This window comes from Homo sapiens, chromosome 5, assembly GCF_000001405.40.
Source record: "Homo sapiens chromosome 5, GRCh38.p14 Primary Assembly".
Classification (NCBI taxonomy): Eukaryota; Metazoa; Chordata; class Mammalia; order Primates; family Hominidae; genus Homo; species Homo sapiens.
Window position 1 is genome coordinate 9,889,444 of NC_000005.10, and position 25,124 is coordinate 9,914,567.

Here is a 25,124-nt window from a genome sequence, read left to right on the forward strand (position 1 = left end):
TAAAAATACCTTTTGGGCTGCTGTGATCCACTGGGAAAATACTGTTTCCATTTTGAGTTAAGCTGTTGAGTTTACAGTTGAATTAAAGCATTACAGCGGGGGTTTTTTGCTCACTGTTTTTTATTGGTGGCGGGGGGTAACCAGATTTGCATGTTTGCATTTTCAGATAGTGCTTCTGACTTTATTGTGTGGAGCAGATTGTGCTGGGGCAACAGTGATGTAACCAGACATCAGGAGGCTGCCAAAGGCCCCTCATGTGAGAGGTCATGGAGCCTCACAGGACTGGGTCAGAAGGGGCAGAGTCTGAAAGAAGTGGATACCAAGTCATCAGAGCTGGGGTGGGGATCCAACCCAGGCTGACGAAGCAAGAGAGCCAACAAGGACTCCGTGGTCTCAGACCTGAAACCAGAATAGCCATGACATTTGTGATGATATGCAAGCTGGGAGAAAGACCAGGCTTGGTGGGGAGCGTGAGTGGCTTTCTGGCAGCAGAGTGTAAGGTATATTGAGATACCAAGTAAAATGTCGGGTGGGCTGATTCACACGGAAGTTAGAGAGCGGTCGGGGCTAAAGATATAAATCTACAAGACAACTGGGTTTAAGGAGTAATGAAGCTGTGGGTGTGAGTGGGATCCCCTAAGGATAAAATATAGGGTAAAAAGAAAAAGGGACTCGGGATCCAGCCTTCAGAAGAAATCCCACAGTTTTCATGAACAAGTTGAGTTGGAGACACCTGCAGAGAAGCTAGAAAAGGCAAGGTAAAAAGAAACCAGAACCTTTGTGTTCTCTCAAAAAGGCCGCCTACGTGATGGTTAAGAGCATAAAACTTCTGACATTCTATAAGCCTCAATTCAAATACTTCGTCAATATGTCCACCCATGACCTCACACTTTCCTGCTCTAACACTTAACCCTGATATTCCCCCTAGAACCTACTACTCCTGCCTAGCCCTTCCTCCTCCGCCTCACATCTCAGGGTCTTGCAGCTTCTGTAGGTCCCCTATCTGTTCTCACTTTGTAATCATTATTATCTTTTCTCCTCCCCAGCTTTCCAACCCCATTATATATATCATTGTAGGGCTCATGTTGCCATCCTAAAGTAACAAAGACTATTACACAGTATCCTTAAAAACATAATTTTACAGTCTGATTTGTTCTCTTAAAAGGGACATAAAAGAGTATTTGAAATCAGCAAGACTGAAGCTCTACAAAGACTGATATTTTAAACATGTAAGTGTCCATGTAAACTAATCATTTTTAGTGGGCCTCACTTTACATTATTTGTTTCCTTTTGTCAATTCGATATTTAAATGACTGACTAGTGAAATTTCTTGACCCTGTTTTTAAGGGCCACTGTGACCTACTTATAACCACGTGTCAACTTTAACACCGGATTCCAAAAACAAGGCACAATGTGAGATGAAATGATAATCAAAGTGGATTACTGGAGGTTTGCTTGGAATCCTGGTCTTCCATGTGGACATCGTTTTTTGGGGACAGCATCTGGGGCTTCCTTCTGCTACCACAACCATCCTCAAAGTATAGTCTGGAGACCTCGGTAGGTGCCCATGGCCTTTTTAAGGGTCCACAAATTCAAACCTAATAACATGAAGTCATTATGTGGCTTTTAAAATCTCATTCTCTCTCTAGTCTACCTCAGAGTTTTGATACAGTATCAAAGAAGACTATTCATAATTATCTAAAAAGAAAGCCAACATTAAAATGCATGCCCCTTTTCCAGCCACACATCTGGAAAACAGCAAATCACAACAGACTGAATACAGAAGCAGATGTAAGCAGGCAGCCATCTTCTATTAAGCAGGACGTTAAAGAGCTATGCAAAAATGTAAAACAATGCCAATCTCTCATTTCATGTTCTTTCATTTTGGGAAAAAAAAATTTTCATAAAAAGATATTGTTCATTTAGCATGTAATAGATGTACTATTTTTGTCTTTAGTGAATTATTAAATACTTTTTAAATTTAATTCCTAACATGGTAAGTATCTGCCAACATAACTCACATAAGCAAAGCTCTTTGGGGCCAGGAGACACATGAGTACTTTGGATCCCATGCACAGAGTATGGGTTCCAAAGGTGGCTGGGGGAGGGCTCAGCATTGGCCCTCCCTCTGCTAAGCCTGCTTGCCCACAAAGTGTACCTACTTCTAGGTGGCTGCTATGACCCCAGAATCCAAAAAGTAAATTGAGCAAAAGCCCCCAGCCCACAGTGTTTCCTCTGCCCATATAACATGCCTCTCATTCTCTGCAGATGGAAGCCCAGAGAACAGATATTAGACCAGGACTCGTATTACACCCAGTACCCATCAGGGCAGTTGGACAGTGGCTAGAATATTAAAGAACTTCTGTACCCCAAGCCACCAAAGCACTTCATGACCACTCCAGCTCCTGCCCAACAACTCACAATCATACTTGACCCCTTCTGCAAATAAAAGGGATAGAGCTTGGCAGGCTGACCCCAGTGCATCCTACCTAACCACCTCTAGCTTCCCCAGGACCCCATGGGCTGGCCCAAGCCCTCCCCTCCCTCATAGCCCACCTTAGGTTCTGCTCTTTTTCTTATATATTTAAAGTTTCACCCTTCCCCATCAGAACCCATATGGGCCCCAACACACACACCCCAACCCTCTCCCTTTATTCCTCTCCCCACAATCCCTTTGACCCAGGAGGGGCAGATTTAGGGGGTTTTATTTCTTTACTTTTTATCCTCTTCCTAATGTAGAGCAGCCAGCCTCTTGCCTAGATATCAAAGCAGAAGGGCCATCCTTGTAGGCTGCAGAAGACATTCTGATCTGAGTACGCTGGGCTCAGTCTTTGAAATGCCACATGAATTTCAGATCTACTCTTCTTCCCATGCCATAGCCTAACAACTTTATTACTAGTTTCTCAAGCTTTGTAGAACTCTTGCCCCCAAAAGTTCCTGGGGGTTATCATGTTTTTCTTCCCATTCCTTCCTTTCCAATTACATCATTTTAAGGCCAGTGATTATTAGACTTTGCCTCACCTTAGAATTTCCCAGGGAACTTCAGGTGTCTAGTTGAGCTGGTGTCCAGGTTGAGCCCTGAACCAACTACATAACAACCTCAGGATGGGACCCAGGGTTCAAGAGTGTTTCATGCTCTCTGGAGATGCCGCTATGCTGCCAAGACTGAGAACCAGTTATCTAGGCTGGATATTTAGGCATGTCTTCTTGATTCCCTGCACTTGACCCCCCTCCACTGACCCATATTTAGAACTGTCTGCGGAAAAGCGCCTCTTATGCCCATTCTTTCCATTGGAACTTCCCCTCCCTGAATGAATGGGCTGATAGAAGAAGCAGGCTATGAGTCAAGTACAAGAGTATTACACTCAAAACAAACAAAAAAACAAAAAAGCAGCCCTTCTTCAAGAGACACAAGCCCATTTCTATTCCCTTATCTTTTCACAGACCAAGTATCCCTGCATTCATTTGCCCTTGTGGTCACTCTCAGGAGAGTGCAGGGCAGATCTGACCACTGATCATGCACCAGACAAAGCCACATGTCCCACAAAAGAACCCCTGGAAGCTTTATAAACTACCAATGACTGCACCGCTACCAAAACCAAGTCACTCCAGCTTTCTGGGATAGGGTCCTGGCAGCAATATTTTTAAGGTTCCCCCAATAATTCTTACATGCAACCAGAGAGAAGGGCTCAGGGAATCTTTGCAAGTCCAGCCTTCTTCCTTCTTCCCCTACAAATATCTGGGTGATGTCTTGGTTGCCCCAGCTTTTTTTTTTTTTTTTTGGAGACAGAGTCTCAGATGCCCAGGCTGGAGTGCAGTGGTGTGATCTTGGCTCAGTGCAACCTCCACCTCCCGTGGCCGGGCTTTCTAGTCCATGTTTTCTTTTGTCCATTATCTTGTATATCACCTGGGCCACCTGTGCTTCTGTCCATGAGTCTTTCAGTCTGTTCTGCCTCATTCCAAAGCCCAGCCCAGACTCCTATCTCCGACTTCTTCGCTCAGATGGTTGTTGGTCTTAAATGAGAAGTACCTAGAGCCCAAGGGATGACAGCACTCATTCAACTGTGTTTTCTAATTGGGCTGGTCAAACGGTCCACTTCAAAATTTTTTTTAAGTTAGTAAATGCCTTTTTTACTGAAAAAGTAATACATACTTGTAATAAAAAAAATTCCAACAGCAAAAGTGTATTACAACAACGTAATCTCCTTCTACTTCAGTTCCCTATCCCCCCTCTCCCCTCAGAGAGAAGGACTTCTATGCAAATACCTGTTCACTTTTGTACATCTATCCTGAGGGGCTGGTCTACTTTGCAGAAACAACATAGATTCTTGTGATCTGTCTACTGAATAAGACTCTGTGGGAGGAAAAAGGAGGAAGGTCCCATGAATCTACCTTTAAAGACTGCTCAGGTGGTCAAAGATTGGATGGGTGTGAGAACTGCTGCCAAAACACAGTACCTAACATGGCCTTTAGGCTTTTAGGGAACTTGGAAATATGATAAAAAGTGAATATATGTTGACCCTACGAAAGTTCATCTGTTAAAGTCCTAACCCCCAGTACCTCAGAATGTAACTGTGTTTGGACATGAGGTCTTTAAAGAGGTAATTAAGTTAAAATGAGGTCTTTCCCATGGGCCCCAATCCAATCTGATTTGTGTCCTTTTAAGAGGAGGAAATTGGCCAGACGTGGTGGCTCACGCCTGTAATCCCTGTACTTTGGGAAGCCGAGGCGGGTGGATCACTTGAGGTCAGTAGTTTGAGACCAGCCTGGCCAACATGACGAAACCCCGTCTCTACTAAAAATACAAAAAATTAGCCAGCCGTGGTGGTGTGTGCCTGTAATCCCAGCTACTCGGGAGGCTGAGGCAGGAGAATCGCTTGAACCTGGGAAGTGGAGGTTGCAGTGAGCCAAGATCACGCCATTGTACTCCAGCCGTGAGACTCTGTCTCAAAAACAAAAACAAAAAAAAACAGAAGAGGAAATTTGGACACACAAACAGAGGCAGCAGGGAGACACACACACACACACAGAGGAAATACCGTGGGAGGACATGGCGAGAGGCCAGCCATCTGCAAACCCTGGAGGAAGGCCTCAGAAAAAACCAAACCTGCAGACACCTTGATCTTGGACTTCCAGCTTCCAGAACTACATGAAAATAAATTGCTGTTATTTAAGCCATCCAGTCTGTAGTAATTTGTTATGACAGCGCTAGCAAACTAATACAGTAAGTTAGTTCTATCCTGGTCACCTAGAGATGCTAAGGAAGGCTATAAACAGATTTATAGACATTGGAGACTCCTAAAATGAGGTCATCAGCCCCAAGGCCATGGGGCCCCTTTGCAGGTGAAACCACTTCACAGCAGGTTTCTTTGTGTGGTTCAGTTGGTAAATTTTTGGCCAAGATACAAAGCAAAGGTTGCCTTATACCAACTTCTACCCAGCATAGTGAGAATGAGGTTTTCAGGCTTTCTGGATGAGGTTTAGCATTTCTCTAAAATTTAAAACATGAATGCCAGAAAGTGGTACACATACACATCTAACATAACTGGAGAAGACCATGTGGTGGTAGGGAGGCTTCCTGATGAACAAGTATAGCTGCAACTGACAAAGAACTGTCTGAGTAGCCCAGTGCAGCAAGTTCAGCTCACTCTCTACCTTATACCAAAGGCCTCGGCTTTCTCATGCCTAAGCACATGTCACTGCGTGTGTGTGAAGGGGGGTGATGGGGGAGAAGGAAGGGATTAAGGCAGTATGGCTTCTGCAGAAGAGCTGGGACTGCAAAACCAGTGCCTTCTGATGGAAAGCCAACACATGAGGAGGAGACACCTGGTTTCTTCCTGCTTTGAAAGTGGACCTGGCTTTGATCAATAAGCTATTACAAATATGATGCACAGTTGTGAGAGAAAATAACTTCTGTTTCAGAGGAAATGGCACAGATGAAGGGACCGCCATTGCCTTTGAAAGTCAATACCACCCCCTGTAGTGATGTAGCAGCCACAGCCATATGCAATCACTGTGGCTGAGCCGGGCAGCAGGCAGTCTGCTGATTACTGGAATAGCGCTGCCTCAAAAAGCCTGCAGAGGCGAGGCTTCCTTTTGAATCAGTGCAATGGTCAACAGAGAGGTCTTTCTTTTTTCTTTTCTTATCCTTTTCTGCCTAAACTCTAGAAGCGGACAATAACCATCAGAGATCTGTTCTGTTACAAATCCAATATATGCAGTCTGCCCTTCTGGGCACTCTATCAACAGATCTGCCCCAGCCCACCAATCTTAAATCACACTGTCTACAATGCTCTCAAAAATATTTTATCACAGACAGTGCAATATTCTGTGTGTGCCTTTCCACTGAAATTATAATTCTAGAGGCATCAGTTGCCCTAATAAGAAACAGAGAGTCCAGCTGTAATCTGATGGAGTTACAGTCAAGAAGCCATTGCTTTGTAAAGCTGATATGAACGCATCTGAATTTCAACCTCCAACCTGTACTGTGATTATTAGCACATCCAGGGTTAGGGATGGGTCTTTACTGGTGAAAATAGTGGCCTCTAAAATTTCTATGATGAATGTTATAACTAGCTTCTTAGTGTGAAATTAAAGCTATCCAAGATATGGGTATTGGTGAAAATATTTTAGAGTTACCCCAACCCTTATACAAGGTATATGGATCCTGAGAGACCTGTTAGCTTCCCCGCCTCCCCAGGCAACTTGGGTCTAGCCACCAAGGTGAGAGGTTTCTGCCTATCAGAGGGTGACCACAAAACACAGAGAACTGGGACTTCACGAATCTTACAGAACTGGTTGGATTATCTCTCGTGTCTTTTGCTAATAGTATTTGTTTAGTAAATGTCCATATGGGTAGCAGAATTTGGTTTGGGACTGGCTTTCTTTAAACTGGCATTTGAGGTTACAGGAGAATGGCTAAACCTCAGCCACCTTTCATTTTTTGGAGGCTACATTTTATACCAAAAAGAACCTAATTGGTTTAGGTCAGTTTAGAAAACGTATCCATCATTATTCTCCAGACGGGCTGAAGCTCTGCGAGCCTTGTCTCTGTTACTTGTCCTCCCTTCTCTAACCGCCGACCCAAACCGCCGACCCAAATTCTAGACCTCCCTCAGGGTTCAGCCACTTGAAGATCATTTCCACTTGAAGAACACTTTCTATGGAAAGTATTCCTCACCTAATGGCTTTACTTTGTGCCCCAAAAACAAGGGCTAAAGAAATCACGCTAGACTTTATCCACTTTGCCATGCCTGTTTGGCAATGTTGTTTAGGTCTTAACACTTCATGCCTATATTCTAAGTCCTTGCAAGGCAAGGACCTCATTTGCCACACTAGTTAATTATTTTGTATCTCCCCAAGCAATAAATCCAATCCCATGAACACAGCAGGACTTGCTAAATGCACCCACTGCTTCTGCATCTACTGTGTGCATGACAACTTTGGGGCTAAGAAGGGAGACAACAATTTGGCTCCGATCCCCAAGAAGTCATCCAGGAGAAGAGAATGAATGTCGATGGTTCAGAGAGGCAAGTCTCTTAGCCTCTGCACTCAAGCATTTTACCATGAAAACATCTGTGTTATGTAATTTCTAGGGCACCAGGAAAAATGGCTACTTACCCAGAAGACTAAGGATGATCTTAACTTTTCCTCCAGCTAATTATTTAAAGGGATGTAACATGAGGTTTTCTTAAAACAAAACAAAACAAAATAACAGCTAGATATGGCTGGGCACGGTGGCTCATGCCTATAATCCCAGCACTTTGGGAGGCCAAGGTGGGTAGATCACAAGGTCAGGAGTTCCAGACCAGCCTGGCCAATATGGTGAAACCCCGTCTCTACTAAAAATACAAAAATTAGCTGGGCGTGGTGGCGCATGCCTGTAATCCCAGCTACTCGGGAGTCTGAGGCAGGAGAATCACTTGAACCCAGGAGGCAGAGGTTGCAGTGAGCCGAGATCACGCCGCTGCACTCCAGTCTGGGTGACAGAGCAAGACTCCATCTCAAAAAACAAAAAAACAAAAAACAAACAAAAACACCTAGATTTGCAACTGGTGTGTTCAAGTTAACAATCCACTACTGTGTGTGTAAGTTTAGGCTAACCGCACGTCTATACCCAGAACTTAGGCACTGGCTGTTTTTGACTTCAATAACTTTCCTGAAATGACAAAGTAGGCATGTATTATATCTTTGCCTAAAGACAACTTTTATGAGATCATACATTCCCATTCTTGGGAGGGTTCTTTCTTTTTTCTTTTTGCTGAATTAACATTTGAAAGAAGAAGTCATTTGGTTTTATTAAGCATGATTCTTCTACTTTGGTAGACTAAGCAGTTCAAAATGTACTAGGAAGATGATGAAAGCAACCAAACAATTTATCTGAAGAGAAAGATAAAATTACTAAGAGCCTGCAGATTAAAGAACACATTTTCTGTTTTAGATTGATATATAAACACAACACTTAAAGAGGAAACATGAGCCAAGGACGCATCTTCAATACAGTCCCTCAAATTTTAACTTTAATTAATCCTCCGAATTTCATAACAATGTATTTTCTAATGACACGGGGACTCACTTCGGAATTCTAAGTAAGACTGTTACTGTTCCCAACGCATCCTTGTGTTCCTAATGACTAAGCTTTAAACTATTAATACATATCTTAGGTTAATTAAGTGGGCTAATTTTCCTTGCCTAATAATTGTTCACGATAATCTAACACTGTTTAAGCTCCAAAATAACCATCTTTGAAAAATATACATCCTTAAGTGTGTCTCCTCCTATTATCAGTGGGGAAAATGTGACAGTAAATTACTGAGTAGGAAGTACAGAATTCCCAAATACAAAGGGGCCCAGATTTTAAAGTACTTCCAATTTTATGGCACAATAATCTAATCTTATCCTCACAAAGCCTCCTCATCTCCTGGCTCCAAGATCAGAGGAAATTCTTTAAGAGAGAGGGACGAGGTAGAAGCCGTGTGTACGTGGTTTTGAGACCTTCCCTAAGCTAGGCCTATTCCTGCTGGCCTCTAGTTATGAGAAAGAACACTGAGGCCTCTCGCACATGGCTTTGCCACCACCAGATGGCACATCACCATGAAAGCAGGTTACAGACAGAATTCTGCCACAGAAATCAATGTTTCTTGGCAAGCAGTCATGAAACAATCTGTTCCTAGAAACTCTGCAAGGTCCCAGGTCTTGGCCACTTAGAAACTCCTCAAGTCCCTTGCATGATCAGGACACAGAATTCCCAATTAAGAGGCAGGAAGCAAAACAACAGAGAGCCCTAGATGAAGGGCAATACTCTAAAGGAGAACATGTAGCAGCTGGGCCCTCCAGATTCCTGCACCCCTGTCCACAGACAGGCAGAGGGGCCTGGACAGGGATTAACCAACCCACAATATTCCAACGATCATGCGCACCACCCATTTCTTTCAATAAAACTTATCTGCAATAATCCTCATGCTAATTAACAATTATCTAGTGCAGACATTTACAGATGGAGGTCGTTGAAGACGGGAAGTGGACATGGAACTGCGAATTCTTGTTGGCTATCTTTAAAATGCTAACCGTGCCTACCATTGGAATGTGTATTTCTCTTTTGGACACTATAAATGCCAACTAACCACCCTTAGGACATAGAGTGAAACTAGCCCACACATATAAATATTTTACACCATCTATACTAAAATATTTTAGAGGAAAATTATAGACAGACAACAGTATGAGCTTAAGGATGGAGTCGGCACTCAGGATGTATGACCACCAGAGGAGTTCAGAGGGACAGGAGTGACTACTGTCTTCATTTCTCCATTCCACTCTCTCTTATACAGCCCAAGTTTTCTGAAATAGTATACCAAGGGGAACTTCTTTCCCTCTCAATTTGAACACAAGACAGCAAAATAGCTAAAGGTGGCCGAGTGTGGTAGCTCATACCTATAATCCCAGCACTTTGGGAAGCTGAGGTGGGCAGATCACCTGAGGTCAGGAGTTCAAGACCAGCCTAACCAATATGGTGAAACCCCATCTCTACTAAAAATACAAAAATTAGCTGGGTGTGGTGGCAGGTGCCTGTAATCCCAGCTACTCGGGAGGCTGAGGCAGAAGAATTGCTTGAACCCGGGAGGTGGAGGTTGCAGTAAGCCCAGATCGCGCCACTGCACTCCAGCCTGGGCAACAGAGCAAGACTCTGTCTAAAAAAAAAAAAAAAATAGCTAAAGGTGAAAATTTCAAATAAGCAGCCTCTCACAAGAAGACAAAAACTAGACTCTATGTAAATAGATATGAAAACAGTGCCCTCTTTAAAGTGCTTTTTTTCTCCCTGCTTAATGGTCTAGAAAAGACACATAATTGCCTTATAATCTTACAGAACCTCTATTTGAGCAACAAAGTTGAGATGTCCCAATGGAGTCCAGTTGGTGATTACATCATTAGAAGGTGGTTCCCAGCCTGTGGTCCGGTCCCCAAATGAATCAATCGATTTGGTTGTTCCCAGTTTTTTTCTATTACAAATAAAGCTGAATCATACAATATTTGGAGTGAAGATAAGTCTCCATTTCTCTAAGATAAATGCCCAAAAGTGCATTCGCTTGGTCATATGGTAAGGAAATGTTTAGTTTCATAAGGGCAGTCATGCAAGACAGAAGTAGGCAGAATTCAGAGAGGCAGAATTGTATACTGGGTACAGATATGTTCTCTCTCTGAAACTAAATGTCTTAGTTTTATACACAAGCTTCACAACTTACCACCCATCAGATCCTCATTGATCAAATGGAGATTATAATGATAATGAGGCCATTTCAACAGCATCATGGTGATGATTTGATTAGTTAATTCATGACATGTTCTTAGAACCACCTCTGACAAACACTATCCTTTCCACAGATGTTAGCTACTAAAATTTGCATGATTTCAGCCACCAGTAAGATTTAATATTTTACCCTATATTCATTAACTTACTGAATTTCTTCTCTTATGGATTAAATGTTCATGCTTGAAAATACAAGAAAAGATTTCATTTTGTTTCAGTATCAAATGCAGCACTGCATTCAAGAAAGCTTAAACACAGAAACATCCCGCCAGTGGGGCAGAGTACAGTCGATTTACACAAGCCAGAGTTATATGTTTCATTATGTATAGGATATCACTCTATAGTCTAAGATACACTTGCTCAAATGGTTTTTTTTTTTTTTTTTTTTTAGACGGAGTCTGGCTCTGTCGCCCAGGCTGGAGTGCAGTGGCGTGATCTCGGCTCACTGCAAGCTCCGCGTCCCGGGTTCATGCCATTCTCCTGCCTCAGCCTCCCGAGCAGCTGGGACTACAGGCACCTGCCACCATGCCCGGCTAATTTTTTTTTGTATTTTTAGTAGAGACGGGGTTTCACCGTGTTAGGCAGGATGGTCTCGATCTCCTGACCTCGTGATCCGCCCGCCTCGGCCTCCTGCTCAAACGGATTTAATTTGCGTGGGGAAGAATAATGCTGGTTGCATTCAGCCGCAACAGAGCAGTTGATCAGGAACAGACCCTGTCTGAGAAGCGTGTCTCTGTTTGCACTAGTCGTCCTCGGAGGACACAATACCTTGGCTCAGATTCGCAGCTGCTTTGCTTTGTACCCTTCACTCACTCAGTAAATAGGTACTAGTGCCTCCCATTAGGGCCCTGGGTTGGACCCTGAGAAGACCACAGAGAAGGGTAGGCATCTCTCCAGGAGCTTTGATCCTGAACTTGACTTAAACACCAGAACAAATGGCTGTGAAAGGTGGCAAACAGCTCAATACAAATGAATGTCACAGTCTAGAGATGATGTAGCAGCAGAAAAAAGGAATTGCTAGAGATTGTAGGGGACAAAGTAAAGATGAAATAAGACTTCTTACAGAAAGCGACTCTGGTGAGACTAAGCTACCAGAGAACCTGTTTGGGCTGAGAGAAAACCATCAGCCTAGAAAAGAGGGCATGGCCAAAAGTTTAGGTATGCACAGGGGCGTTCATTCTTCTGGAAAACAATGTGGCCAGAGGGGACAGTAGAAGCCAGGAAACAATAAGAAAAAAATATTGAAAGAATTGTAGTCTGAATGTAGAAGCTCTAGAATACTGACTGAGTTTACACTTTGCTCTGGGTATAATAGGGGCCTTTGAAAGCTTTGTAAAAGGAAGTGTACATCATAAGCAGGGTATTTTAGGGGATAAATCTTCCTGCAGTAAGAAGAATGAATTGGAAGGGGAAAAGACAGAAAGTAAGGCACTCTGTGGGAAAATAATTTCAACTGCGCAAGCATGAAGCGATGTGGATCCAGGCCGGAGACAGGCAAGAAGACTGGAAGTCAGATTGTTCTATTTATTTTCCGGAGAAAAAGAAAGCACACCTATGCTAGAAAAATAGCTTCGGCAAATGCCCCATATAATAAATTGTCCTTCACTTACTCCACCCATGTGTTTTTGCTTTAACTAACCATGAATAGCTGCTTCAGCACCAGCCTGTTTATCATCCTCCCACGTCCAGCCTAGCAGGACTGAACTGAAAGGATCTCAGAGTAGTGGACTCGCTGGACTGCAAGATGCTACTCCTGTTAATCTTCCATTACTCTTTGATGTTACGTCTGTCCCTCAGATATCACGGGCAAAGCATGCCAAGATATTACAGTTGACACCTGGGGTAAGCCAGTCTTTTATCCCCTATTATAGCTGTATAGCTCTTAAACATAGTGTGTCATTGAATACCATGCTCTACTATTTAGCCTTACTAAAGACCTGTGAGGTTATAAAATCTTTATTACAAATTTCTTATTCATAAGTTTATAATTTAACAGTATGCTATTGAGGCATACATGAACTGAGTGGGTCAACTACCACACTGTGGACATGTTCTAGAATGTTACTGTGCTTTTGGTTCTTCCCAGAGGGCTGCTGTCTCCCCAGATCCTGGAAGCAGAATCCCTGTAGAGCACATAACACCCCCAAATTTAACCCAGCCATGGCTGTCATTTGGCTGGCCAGCAACCCATGAGATAATTTCTTCTAAAATTTGGCTTTCAATTTCTGGTCCAGCATATAAGGAGCTTGGAAGTCACCACTCCACCTTAACAACAAGTCAAAAGCTAAACAAATGGAAACATCAAAAATTCTTCTTAGATCCATCATAGAGGTGAGGTCACAGGGCAAACTTCTGCCCCACAAACTGGAGAGACAGGCAGATACTAAAAATCACAACTTACTGGAGCAGAAATCCATGAGCAGAAGCCTCTTTGGAAAGTCACGCTGGGGTAGGAAAATCTGAACCGTAATTGACAGTTGCTATAAACTCAGCGTGGACAGGTCTGAAAGTTAAAAACTACAGATCAATACAGTGATCAGTCCCCACCTCCCCATACCCCTCACCACCTTTGAAAATTTTAATCTCATGGAGCTTAACCAGGTTCTCACGGTGGCTATCGGAGAAAAAATCACTCGTGTCTTCAGCAGGTAGAAGGGAAAAGTAACCATTTTGAAATATATCAGATAATTCTTTTTTAAAAAAAAATGTGTGAGTATGTAGTAAGTGTATATATTTCTGGTGTACATGAGATGTTTTGATACAGGCATGCAATGTGAAATAAGCACATCATGAATAATGGGTCATCCGTCCCCTCAAGCATTTATCCTTTGAGTTACAAACAATCCAAGTACACTCAGGTTATTTTAAAATGTACAGTTGAGTTACTATTGACTATAGCCACCTTGTTCTGCTATCAAACAGTAGGTATTATTCATCCATTTTTTTGTACACATTAACCATCCCCACCTCTATAAGTAAGTGAAAAAACCTACAAGTAAGTGAGAACATGTGATGTTTGTCTTTCTGTGCCTAGCTTATTTCATTTAACATAATAATCTCCAGTTTCATCCATGTTGTCCTTTATTTTTTCCAATAGGTTTTTGGGGAACAGGTGGTGCTTGGTTACATGGATAAGTTTTCCGTGGTGATTTCTGAGATTCTGGTGCAGCCATCACCTAAGCAGTGTACACTGTACCCAATGTGTAGTCTTTTATCCCAACCCTCACCCACCCTTTCCCCCAAGTCCCCAAAGTCCATTGTATCATTTTTATACCTTTGTGTTCTCATAGCTTAGCTCCTACTGATGAGTGAGAACAGATGATGTTTGGTTTTCCATTTCCGAGTTACTTCACTTAGAATACTGGTCTAGCCACCCAACAGACCTACCAGGCTCTGGGCTGGTACTGGAGAATGTCTGCAAGGAGTCCTGTGATGTGATCCATCTTCAGGTCTCTCAGCTGTGGATACCAGCACCTGCTCTGGTGGAGGGGAGTTAAGTGGACTCTGCAAGGGTCATTGGTTATATTTTTGTTAAGTGTGCTGGTTTTGTGTTGTTTGGCCTCCAGCCAGACTCTCCTTGGGTGAGGCTTGCTGCAGCTGCCATGACAGATGGGAGTATGGTTCCTAGGCCAACAGAGTTGTGTTCCCAAGGGGATTATGGCTGCCTCTGTTGTGTCACACAAGTTGCCAGGGAAGTGGAGGAAAGCCAGGAACCACAGGCCTCACTCAGTTCCTGTGCAGCCCAGAGCTAGAGAGACCAGTCTCACTCTCACCATGCTCCACAAACAGCACTGAGTTTACTTCCAGGCAGCAAGTGAGCAGGCCTGAGAACCTGCCCCAGGCTACAAGCCTCCCAGCTGATAAAGCAAGCAGACTCACAGTTCCTCAGCTGTCCCACAGAACCTGCAATGGCAATCCACCTCCTTCAAAGGGTCTGTGGATTCTTTTGGCTTTTCTGGTACATTCTTGCAGTAGTTCCTGGAGCAAAAGTTCATTATGTGGGTCTCCACATCCTGCTCTGTCCATCTGAGTGGTAACTGCAAGTTAGTCCTGCCTCCTAGCCACCACTTTCCCCCAGAAAATATCCCTGTTGCTCTTTTTAACAAGCTCTGACTGCAAGATAAAGTATTTTACCAAAGCCTGATCTTCTGGGGATGTATCAGAGCCTAATTGACCTGATGGAAGGAAAATACCCCCAATCAAGCTAGCTCTAGCCTTACATATAGGAGAAAGGACACCCAAATCCAGCCCCCGACATCCATCCTGTCTCATCTAAGGCTTGAGACCTACCCATAGGACTATGAAACACTGTCCTACATCTTACCACCCACCACACACTAAAGGCCTATTTACAAGACTTCCTTTTGCCCAGTACATCACATCCACATTTCACCAAACATGACAAGGCACACTAAACGGCAAAAAATACAGTCTGAAGAGACAGAGTAAGCATTGAAAACAGACCCAGATATGGCAGGGATGTTGAAACTATTAGACCATGAATTTAAAAAGACTATAATTAACATGCTTAAAGCCCTAATAGCAAAAGTAGATAGCATGTAAGAACAGATAAATAATGTAAGCAGATATCTAGAAATTCCAAGAAAGAATAAAAAAGAACACTAGAGAACAAAAACACTGTAACAGAAAGGAAAAATGCCTTTGATGGCTCATTAGTAGACCGAATACAGCTGAGGAGAAAAATCACTGAGCTTGACTACATTAAAACAGAAACTTCAAAAACTGAAAAGCAAAGAGAAAAAAGACAGCAAAAGAAACAGAACATAATATCCAAGAACTGTGGAACAACTATGAAAGGTGTACATGTAATGGTAATAACAAAAGGAGAAGAAATAGAGAACACAAAAGAAAAAAGTATTTGAAACAATAATGGCTTAGAATTTCCCCCAAATTAATGTTAGACATCAAACCACAAATCTTGTAAGCTCAGGGAACACCAGACAGGAAAAATACCAAAAAATTCCTGCACCTAAGCATGTCATATGTAAATGGCAGAAAATCAAGACACAGAAATATCTTGAAAGAAGCCAGAGGTGCAGGAAAAACCTTATGTATAGAGAAGCAAATATGAAAAGTTACATCCAATTTCTCTTCAGAAGCCATATAGGTAAGAAAAGGGTAAAATGAAATATTTAACATGTTGGGAGAAAAAGAAATGAACCTAGAACTTTGTACTCTGCGAAATTATTCTTCAAAAAATGAAAGAGAAATCAACACTTTCTCAGACAAACAAACATTGAGGGAATTTGCTACCAGTAGACATGCCTCAAAAGAAATGTTAAAAGTTCTTCAGAGAGAAAAAACTAAAGATATGTCAGAAACTTTCATCTACATTAAGAAAGGAAGAGTATTAAAAAAGAAATAAAATAAAAGCATGTGAAATGTATTCAGGAGCTTATAGAATTTACTGAACCTGGTCAGTTTTCCACAGGATGAGCAGTGAATTGTACTGCATCTTAACAGTATGTATTAGGATTCTTGCAGTGGCATGCAGGAAGATATATTTTACCAGATATTATTCTTCCAAGATACTGAGCCCCAGGGGGGAGGAAACTTGTGGAAGCTGGCCAAACAGATTAAGAGAAAAAAACTGCTGTAGTCTCCATATCATGAGGAATTGCTGTAGCCTGCTACATGGTAGTCCTATGATCCTAAATTGGCCCAGATTCTTGTCTAGATTCAGGCGTTAGGTCAAGAGCTCTCCAAAGTGCTGCACTTACTGTTCCACCCTCTGCTGAAAGACCAGGAATATAGCACAGGTTGACAGCCAAAACAGGGATTTAAAGAATGTGAGAAGGCCTGGAAGAAACTAATGAAGAACAATGGGGAGGAGTTGGAGTTCCAAGGTACCAAACCACAGATTTATCCCCCAGACAGGAGAGACTTGTGGACCCCATCTTGGCTGTTTCTTCTTTCTTCGTTTTGTATTTCAGAAATGTATCCTTTAGTTTTGATGATTTGGTTCAGACTGAGATTGCAATGTGATTTCTGTTCTCCAACATAATTCTGTTTCTTTATCTCAGTTGGAGAATCAAATAGCATATTAATATGATACATTACACTAGATTTCACCTAGAGTGGGTAATAAAATCTATTTTCCAACCTTTTCAGTCTGAGCTCAAATAAAGTTAATCTAATTTAATATGTCATCAATAAAAGTTGGTCTATGGGCCAACAGTTATTTAGGGAAGGGGGATGGGGAGAAGTTTGAAGGATAATTTAGAGGTTGGTTTGATTTAAGACAAGTTCAAGTTTAGCAATGCAATTTTGCTGCATTTACTATACATCTCTATGATGAATGCAAGGCAGAAAAACCAACCTTTACAATTTCTATCTATAATTAATGAGTGGCTTCTAGCAGGGTTGGGGTGAGGAGAGAAGAATTGTGATTATAGGAGACCAGCTCAATTGAGTGATGTCAAATCTTCTAGAGGCCAATGTAAACCACTCAGCATTCCCACTTGTATATTCTGGGGTTTTGCATTTTTTTTAACTCATGATAGAATGAAACCTGATTAGAAAGGAGGCAAAGAGACTAATGATAAGATGATGGTTTAAATTATTGAAGCCAATTAATTACACACAATAAGTGCCACTAATAGTGGTAGTGTGGGATTGCTAAGAAAGTGTTTACGGGATTGGGAGGGAGACTCAGCCCTAACATCTCCTTCTCTGTCTCTCCAGAGCAGGATCTCTCCCAGAGGTCTCTGCTCACAGACAAACTCCACCCCAGTGGGGCAGTCATAGTAAGAAATTCCAAGTATAGGAGCTTTAGTCCTACTAAAGTATTCAGAATTCCATCCTGCTTCCCACTAGGTGAAGCCTAAGCACTGAAGGCTGACTCTCAGCCCTCTTCTCTCCTTCCTTGCTGCTTCCTGGAGAGTGGCCTCCAGGAGAATGGACAGGGATTTGCAATCCCATCCAGGGTGGGAAGCAGGAAGTGAGAAGCGGTAGTAACCATACTGCATGTCTCCCATTCCTACAACACCTCCCTTCCTGAATCCAGCTCAGCTAGCTGGAGATCATACTTAGTCTCCTGGCAAAGTGAGCCTGCTTCTATACCCCATCCTCTGACAGGGGCATTGTTTGGAATGGGCAGACTGCCTGGAACTGCAACCCTACCGGACTTGGAGCATCACCTACTTTGCTAATTGCCCTACACTGCCTGTGAGAATGAACACCGTTTCTCCATTGACCCACATCCTAGGGCAAAGGTATGTCTTCCCCATTCCTGATCTTTCCCTCAAGTGGACATCACACAATCTGCTTGACCCAGTATTCTAATAAAAGAATCTAAACAAAACACAGTTATTTTGTTAGGGATATACTGTTTTCAACACCTTGGTCAGTGGTTGTCAACCCTGATTATATGCACCTAAAAATTTAAAAAGAAAAAAAAAGCCAACATCAGGCCCTGTCTCATGGGAATTATGAACTAAGTAGTCTGGGTGGAGCCAATGCGTTGGCATTTTTGCTCTGAAGTGCAGCCAGGGGTAAGAACAAGTGAGTTAACTAGTTAGACTCCAAACCCTCTGATCCCCACATAGCTCCCATGTTGGGAGGGCCACCTTCCATGCCCCTTCAGTCTGTGCCTGCTGGGTCTCTTGCTTCTAAATGATGAGTTTATGTGCCAATGGTGCATGCACCTGCTCCCCAAAGTGAGGCAATGTGATTGTGGGAAGGACAAAACACAAGGAATGAAGAAATGACAATGCTCCCTATTGAAATACCTGATGAGACTACTGAAGCAATCAGAATGAGCAATTTGAACACTTCAGGTCTTGCCTTGTGCCAGAAAAACTGCAGTAGAAAATTCATAGAGCTTGAAAGAGGTCTCGTGAGGTCTTTTTGTTCGTGGCCATTTTGCACAGATGAAGAGGAACCTAACTTTGCCAACTTCCAAAGGAAGACTCCAGAAGAAATTTCATCTAGTGACTCCGGAGTGTAGCTCTGATGCTACCTAGAAAATCTTCTACTGAAGTCCCTCTGCAGAGGCTGCTGTGCTAGTTTCCTGGGGGGCAAGAAAGAGAGGAGCTCCAAAGCCCAATCACTTCATAGTAAATGACAGCATACTTTTAGTCAGAAGAAATCACATTTTGCTTCCATTTCTTTATATTAATAAAATATTGCCATGTTAAAAAAAACTTCATCCCGCTACAATGAAGCTTTTCAAGATTTTTTTCTTAGAAAATGGCATAAGCCAATATAATACCTTATAGGTAACACCTGGAAACAATTGAAAAAGCAAAGAAATGATAGTTGAACACAAAAATTCCAGACCCCTAATGTATTGATCCCCTATTTTCCACTAGCGACATTCATTTCACCAAGATTTGCCACAGGATGAGAGAAGAAAATGACAAAGACACAGGAAACGTACCATCAATAACCAATATGCTGTGTATTTTCTGAGAGTCAGTCATGTAACTATCTAATGACCAACAAATTGTGCACCAGTTTCTTGTTCAAACAGTGTAAATATGTGTGTATATACATATATATGTGTGTGTGTATATATATATATATATATGCATACTATGGTGGAAATAAAAGTCATAAATCTTTAAAAATGAATCTATTCTTGCTCAAAATTTAAAAAAAAAGAAAATTCCCGTGTTGGTTTTCTGGTTTTGATATTACATGGGAGTCATATGGAACGTTACCATAATACGAAATTGAGTGAAGGCTACACCAGGTCTCCCTGTACATTTTTTTTTTGGCAACTTCCTGTGGGTTTCTAATTATTCCAAAATAAAAAAAGTTTAAAAGACAAAATGTAAGAAAAGAAACTCTACCCATAAAAGAAATAAAGTGGGGCCTTAGAAGGAAAGAAGACTATGCAAGAACTGTACAGACCATCAGTAGTAATAATAGAAATAGTAGTTGCAATTGTAGCAGCATCAGTAGCAACAGTAGCAGGAGTAGTAGTAACAGACAGTAGTAGTAGCAATAGTAGCAGTAGTAGTGGGCAGTAATAGCAGTAGTAGTAACAATAGCGGTAGTAATAGCAGCAGTAGTAACAGTAGCAATAGTACTAGTTATAGCAGTAGCATAACAGTAGCGGTAGTAGTAATAATAGCAGTACTGTAACAGTAGCAGTGGTGGTACTAATGGACAGTAGCAGTAGTTGATAGAAAATATTTATATTCTCAAGCCACTGGGGCAGAGTGAAGAAGGAGCTATGCTACGTTGGAAGGGAAATGAATATCTTACTTAAATTTAAATCTATGTAGGATTTATCTCTCATTATATTTACTAAAAGGAAGCAAGAAGCTTTCCAAAATAATTCAGTCCTAAGCTATACATTTCTTACCTACTTTCCCTAGCACGCAATCTTCGATTTGACAGCATGTGAAAATCTCAAAGCATGTGAAACCGTACATTATTCATTAAATCTATAGAATATGTTTGTTATCAGATATGGGATTTACTTAATTTACAAATGAGTTCCACTACCTGGTATTAACTGCCCCACACTATATTAGGCATGTGAGATCTTCTATTCAGAAAGCTCTAGCCTCTCTGGGCCTTAGCTTTCTCCTTACAGGCCGGCTTGAGAATAACTACTCTAGCAGACTATACCCAAACACAATTTAAATTTGCTTCCTTTTGAAGCATCTCCCACCATCAGTCACACAGAGAGAGGCAATGGAGCTGGAAATGGAAGCACCCCCAAGGTTCTGGAGATGCTTAGAACACAAAGTACCTGCCACATGTGCCGGATGCTGCTCTAGACATGAAGGGCTCAGCGAAGGGCTCAGCAAAGGGCACAATAGCCACTGTCTTTCTGTCCTCAAGAAGGAAAATCAGCACTGAACAAGACGATCTCAGGTAGGGTTCAAAACTACAGAGAAAATAAACAAGGAACGTGATAGAGAATGGTGGCTTGCAGAGGCCCTGGGTCAGAGATCTCTCTGCAAGAAAACATTTGAGCAGAGACCCAAGAAACCACCAGGAGCAAGCCACAGGGAAGAATTTCCCAGAACAGGGACATCAAAGGCCCTGACGTGAAAATCAGTCTGAGCTTTGTGATAAACAGAAGTAGGAAGGACTAGAGTAGACAGAGGCAGAGAGGAAGGGAGGGGCCAGGTCATCAAGTCTCTGTGATGGGTCAGACATGGGGGTGTAAGGAGGAGGCTTCAGTGAGAAAAGTTTCCAGATTTCTGTTTTGAGGCACTAGCTGGAAGAGATACCACTTACTGGGCTTGAAGAAGAGAAGCCTAGGTCCAGTTTAGAACATGTCAAGTATGGAATGCTGCTAAGACACCCTTCCTGCCCCGGATCTCTGGCCTGTGGGCCAGGATAACCCAGAGTCCCCCTTGCAGGGATCCCCCACTGCAGCCACTCCCCTCTAGAGCCTGGGAAGCTGATGTGGATGCCTAAGGTCTCAGGACCCACGAACCCCTCATCAGCCTCTGCCTTGCCCTTGTCCCCTGAGCCTGGGCGAACCACTAATCCCCATATGTGAGTCTCCTGTTCCTCTGTGGTGTCTGTATCAATTCCTATGGCTTCTGCCACAAACTGCCACAAACATAGTGGCTTAAACCAACACAAATCTGTTATAATTCTGGAGATCAGAAATCCCAAATGCACCACCCTGAGCTAAGATCCAGTGTTCCTTCTGGAGACTCTGGAGGGAATCGGTTCCTTGCCTTTTCCAGCTTCTAGAGGCTGCCCACGTTCTTTGGGCCATGGCCCCTTGCTCCATCTTCAAAGCCCAGTCACACCCCTCCAACCTCTGCTTCTTTCATCCTATTTCCTCTGACTCTCTTCCTCCCTCATGTAAGAATGCCTGTGATTACCATGTTCCCACGCTGATAATCCAGGGTCATCTCCCCATCCAGATTGTCAATCCCATCTGCAAAGTCCCTTTTTCCCACATAGGGCAACATATCCATAGATTCGAAAGACTAAGACATGGGCATCTTTGAAGGGGCTATTATTCTGTCAATGATAATACCCTAAATCCTCTTCCTCACACTGCAGGTTATTTCTCATTCTCTATCCTGCCACAGGGTTTTTACTGGAAAAAATCAGACAGAACCAGTTCTGGCAGGAATGGAAGGTACGAAAAGAAGAAATACAGAAAGAAATCACACACTGAAATTAACAACCGAAAATACTACACAACCACAAAATTGTAAAAAAATGTATATTTACAATCCAATCCAAAGTTTTACAAACGTGTTAAAAACTTTAGACCAGTTAAATTCAATTGAGTTTAATTGAGTAAAGAACAATTCATGAATCAGTCAGCTCTGGAACCAGAATATGTTCAGAGAGGCTGCAGTGTGGCTGCATGGTCAAAGACTGATGGACAGAAAACAGAAGTGGGTACACAAACTGCCAACTGTTTACAGCTTGGTGTTTGCCTTATTTGAACATGGTTTCAATAGTTGGCTGCCTTTTGCCAAAACTTGGTGACTGGCCAGAACTAAATGATTGGCACAAGAGTAGGTTATGGTCTGTTTCCACATCCAGTTAGGTTACAGTCTACTATGTACAGAGAGACCTTTAGGCTGAACCTAAAATACGTAAGGAACCAGCTTTAGACTAGACTTAATTTAACACATGTATTAGGGTATAGGACCAGTGTACACAATTCAAGATTAAGACATACATAAGATTGCTGATGTCAAGTTCATAATCAATTTATGCACAGTTAAATAGATTCAGTGCCTTTTGGGATTGAAGAGGGAAGAGAGACACACACTGGGTGTTGGCTTCCATTCAATGAAACACCAGAAGCTGGGTACCAAAGCAGCACCACTGTATACTGTGCCTCCCTGGGATCTGGGCAGGGTCCCTGCACAGAAAGCACATCTCTGTGGCAGGGATGGAAGTCATTACTTAGGAATAAAAGTAGCCCAAGGACCTGCCTGGCCTCCCCCAGCCCAGCAGAACTGAGATGTGGTAGCAGGCACACTCTCCTGGGAACTCTCAGATAGGTCATGACTGTTGTCCCCCACCTGGGAGAGCCATGGGTCTCTCCTCCTCCACCTTGTGAGCTCTTGGACCCCATGGGTAGGAAGCAGCTCCTCTGGGAAAATGGTAGATGGATATTGCATCAAATACACGGCCAGCAGCCAATGCCATGTGGCATGCCGCCCACCTCGGCTCCAACCCTCTCTCCCCAACCACCACTTCTGCTCTTCCATATTCTTCCCAACCCTCCTGCTCATAGCACCCTCACTTTTCACCTCCCTCCAGCACAAAAGATTTTGAAATGGGAACTTGCCTTCTGCTAGGGTTATGATGAATAACATTTTCAATCACAACACATTTCAATCATAAGGAAAATAGCTTTAGAGGATCCCCAGGGAGTAGGAGTAGGTGAAGAAAAAGCATATTCATACAAGTTAGATTACCTATTTTTTTTAAAACAGAAAGTTGCCAATGAGAAAATGGGACTCCTTTTGAGCCACTAAAATGTTAATGTCTGCGCATACCTAAAGAGCTATGGATTCCTAATCTTTCTTCCTCAAAACAGTAACATGCTTTGGGGTTTAGAGAGCAGATTCTAAGTCTGAAGCCCACACCCATGGGGACAGCACCACAGCTTAACCCTAAGTGGTCCTATTGGCAGAAACTAAATTGGAAGATTCTGGATGTCTGCAGCCTAGTAGGATGGCAGGGTTCAGTCACTGGAAAACCGTCACATATGTGTCTTTGAGCCTTCCCCACAAGGTGTGCAGAACTCTTCTAGAAGGACATAGAGCTGAGGTTTTATCAGGCTCAAGGTTATCTTGCCTGCTTTCTGTAGATAGCAAATTTTGTTCAAGACTTGCTTTCACTACAGACTAGTAGCAAGGTGTATTAGTCAGGGTTCTCTAGAGGAACAGAATAGGAGATAGAGAGAAAGAGAGAGAGAGAGAGAGAAGTTTATTAAGTAATATTAACTCACACCATCACAAGGTCCCACAATAGGCCATCTACAAGCTGAGGAGCAAGGAAGCCACTCCAGGTCCCAAGGCTGAAGAACCTGGAGTCCTATGTTGGAGGGCAGGAAGCATCCAGCACAGGACGAAGATGTAGGCTGGGAGGCTAAGCCAGTCTAAGCTTTTCACGTTTTTCTGCCTGCTTTATATTCACTGGCAGTTAATTGATGCCCACCCAGATTCAGGGTGGGTCTGCCTTCCCCAGCCCACTGACTCAAATGTTAATCTCCTTTGGCAACACCCTCACAGGCACACCCAGAATCAAAACTTGGCATCCTTCAATCCAATCAAGTTGACGCTCAGTATTAATCATCACACAAGGTTTGAGGGCATAACTAACCATCAACCACCTCTTACTGTTGACCAGACAATTACCAAGCAAGGAACACATCAGAGCTGGGTATCGGGCACCAAGTTCAGGGCAGTCCTCAGTGGTGATATTTAGTGAGTGTCTACTGTGTGCCAGGCCAGGGGTTACTGAAATGGATGACAGGACTGTCTTTCTCTTTCAAGGGGCTCCCTCTCCTGTAGCTCAGTGGTTATGTGGCCTTGCCAGGCTGACCAGAACAAACACCAATGCTACCATTTCCTAGAAAGCCAGTGTGAGCACTGTCTGGACAGCACACACTATTGAAGGCCCAGGTGAGGGCCCAAAGAAGGCATTGCCCACAGGTGGTGCCCAGACAGACAATCCCTGATCTCCTGGCCCTGGGTGATCACACCTGGATGAAAGGTCTGGGTGATCACACCTGGATGAAAGGTCTGGGTGATCACACCTGGATGAAAGGTCTGGGGAATCACACCTGGATGAAAGCTCTGGGGAATCACACCTGGGTGAAAGCTCTAGGGAAAGACCTTTTATTTTTTGTTTTTGTTTTTTGTTTTTGAGATAGAGTCTTGCTCCATCGCCCAGGCTGGAAGGCAGTGGCATGATCTCAGCTCACTGCAACCTCCGCTTCCCAGGTTCAAGCGATTCTCCTGCCTCAGCCTCCCAAGTATCTGGGACTGCAGGCACGTACCACCATTCCTGGTTAATTTTTTGTATTTTTAGTAGAGTCAGGGTTTCACCGTGTCAGCCAGGATGGTCTCGCTCTCCTGACCTCGTGATCCGCCCACCTCAGCCTCCCAAAGTGCTGAGATTACAGGCATAAGCCACTGCACCCGGCCAGGAAAGACCATTTTTACAGGCAGTGCACACCCACCAGTGCTCAAAGGCCTTGGGTCCTCAACGATGCATTATTATAAACCTCCACGGCTCACAAGTTTTTAATACTGCACAAGCTTACTAGAGGAGATTGCCACAAGTTCACAAGAGGAGAATAGATATGTGTGTACAGAGGCTAAATGGGAGCTTACAA

The 25,124-nt window shown here is 43.0% G+C and overlaps 1 protein-coding gene and 1 long non-coding RNA gene across 2 annotated transcripts in view, besides 1 other annotated feature; both read right to left on the bottom strand.

Annotated features, from left to right (window-relative positions):
• LINC02112 (long intergenic non-protein coding RNA 2112) overlaps positions 1-14,381 on the bottom strand; it is a 262,510-nt gene extending 248,129 nt beyond the window's left edge. Inside the window, exons 1-2 of the long non-coding RNA NR_027112.2 lie at positions 14,082-14,381; positions 13,209-13,310 (exon numbers count right to left, since the gene is read on the bottom strand). This is a non-coding gene — a long non-coding RNA (long intergenic non-protein coding RNA 2112). The remainder of the gene's footprint in view (positions 1-13,208; positions 13,311-14,081) is intronic.
• The window catches only part of TAS2R1 (taste 2 receptor member 1), a 276,530-nt gene extending 262,097 nt beyond the window's left edge, over positions 1-14,433 (bottom strand). Inside the window, exons 1-2 of the mRNA NM_001386348.1 lie at positions 14,082-14,433; positions 13,209-13,310 (exon numbers count right to left, since the gene is read on the bottom strand). The gene's annotated coding sequence lies outside the window, so the exon portion shown is untranslated. The remainder of the gene's footprint in view (positions 1-13,208; positions 13,311-14,081) is intronic.
• Positions 5,755-6,256: an enhancer, noted in NCBI's record as "NANOG hESC enhancer chr5:9895310-9895811 (GRCh37/hg19 assembly coordinates)". NCBI's record gives its function as "activates a minimal SCP1, AML or CMV promoter by ChIP-STARR-seq in naive H9 embryonic stem cells {active_cell/tissue: H9 hESC(naive)}" and the evidence as "EXISTENCE:reporter gene assay evidence [ECO:0000049][PMID:30033119]".
• Positions 14,434-25,124: the final 10,691 nt, after the last annotated feature.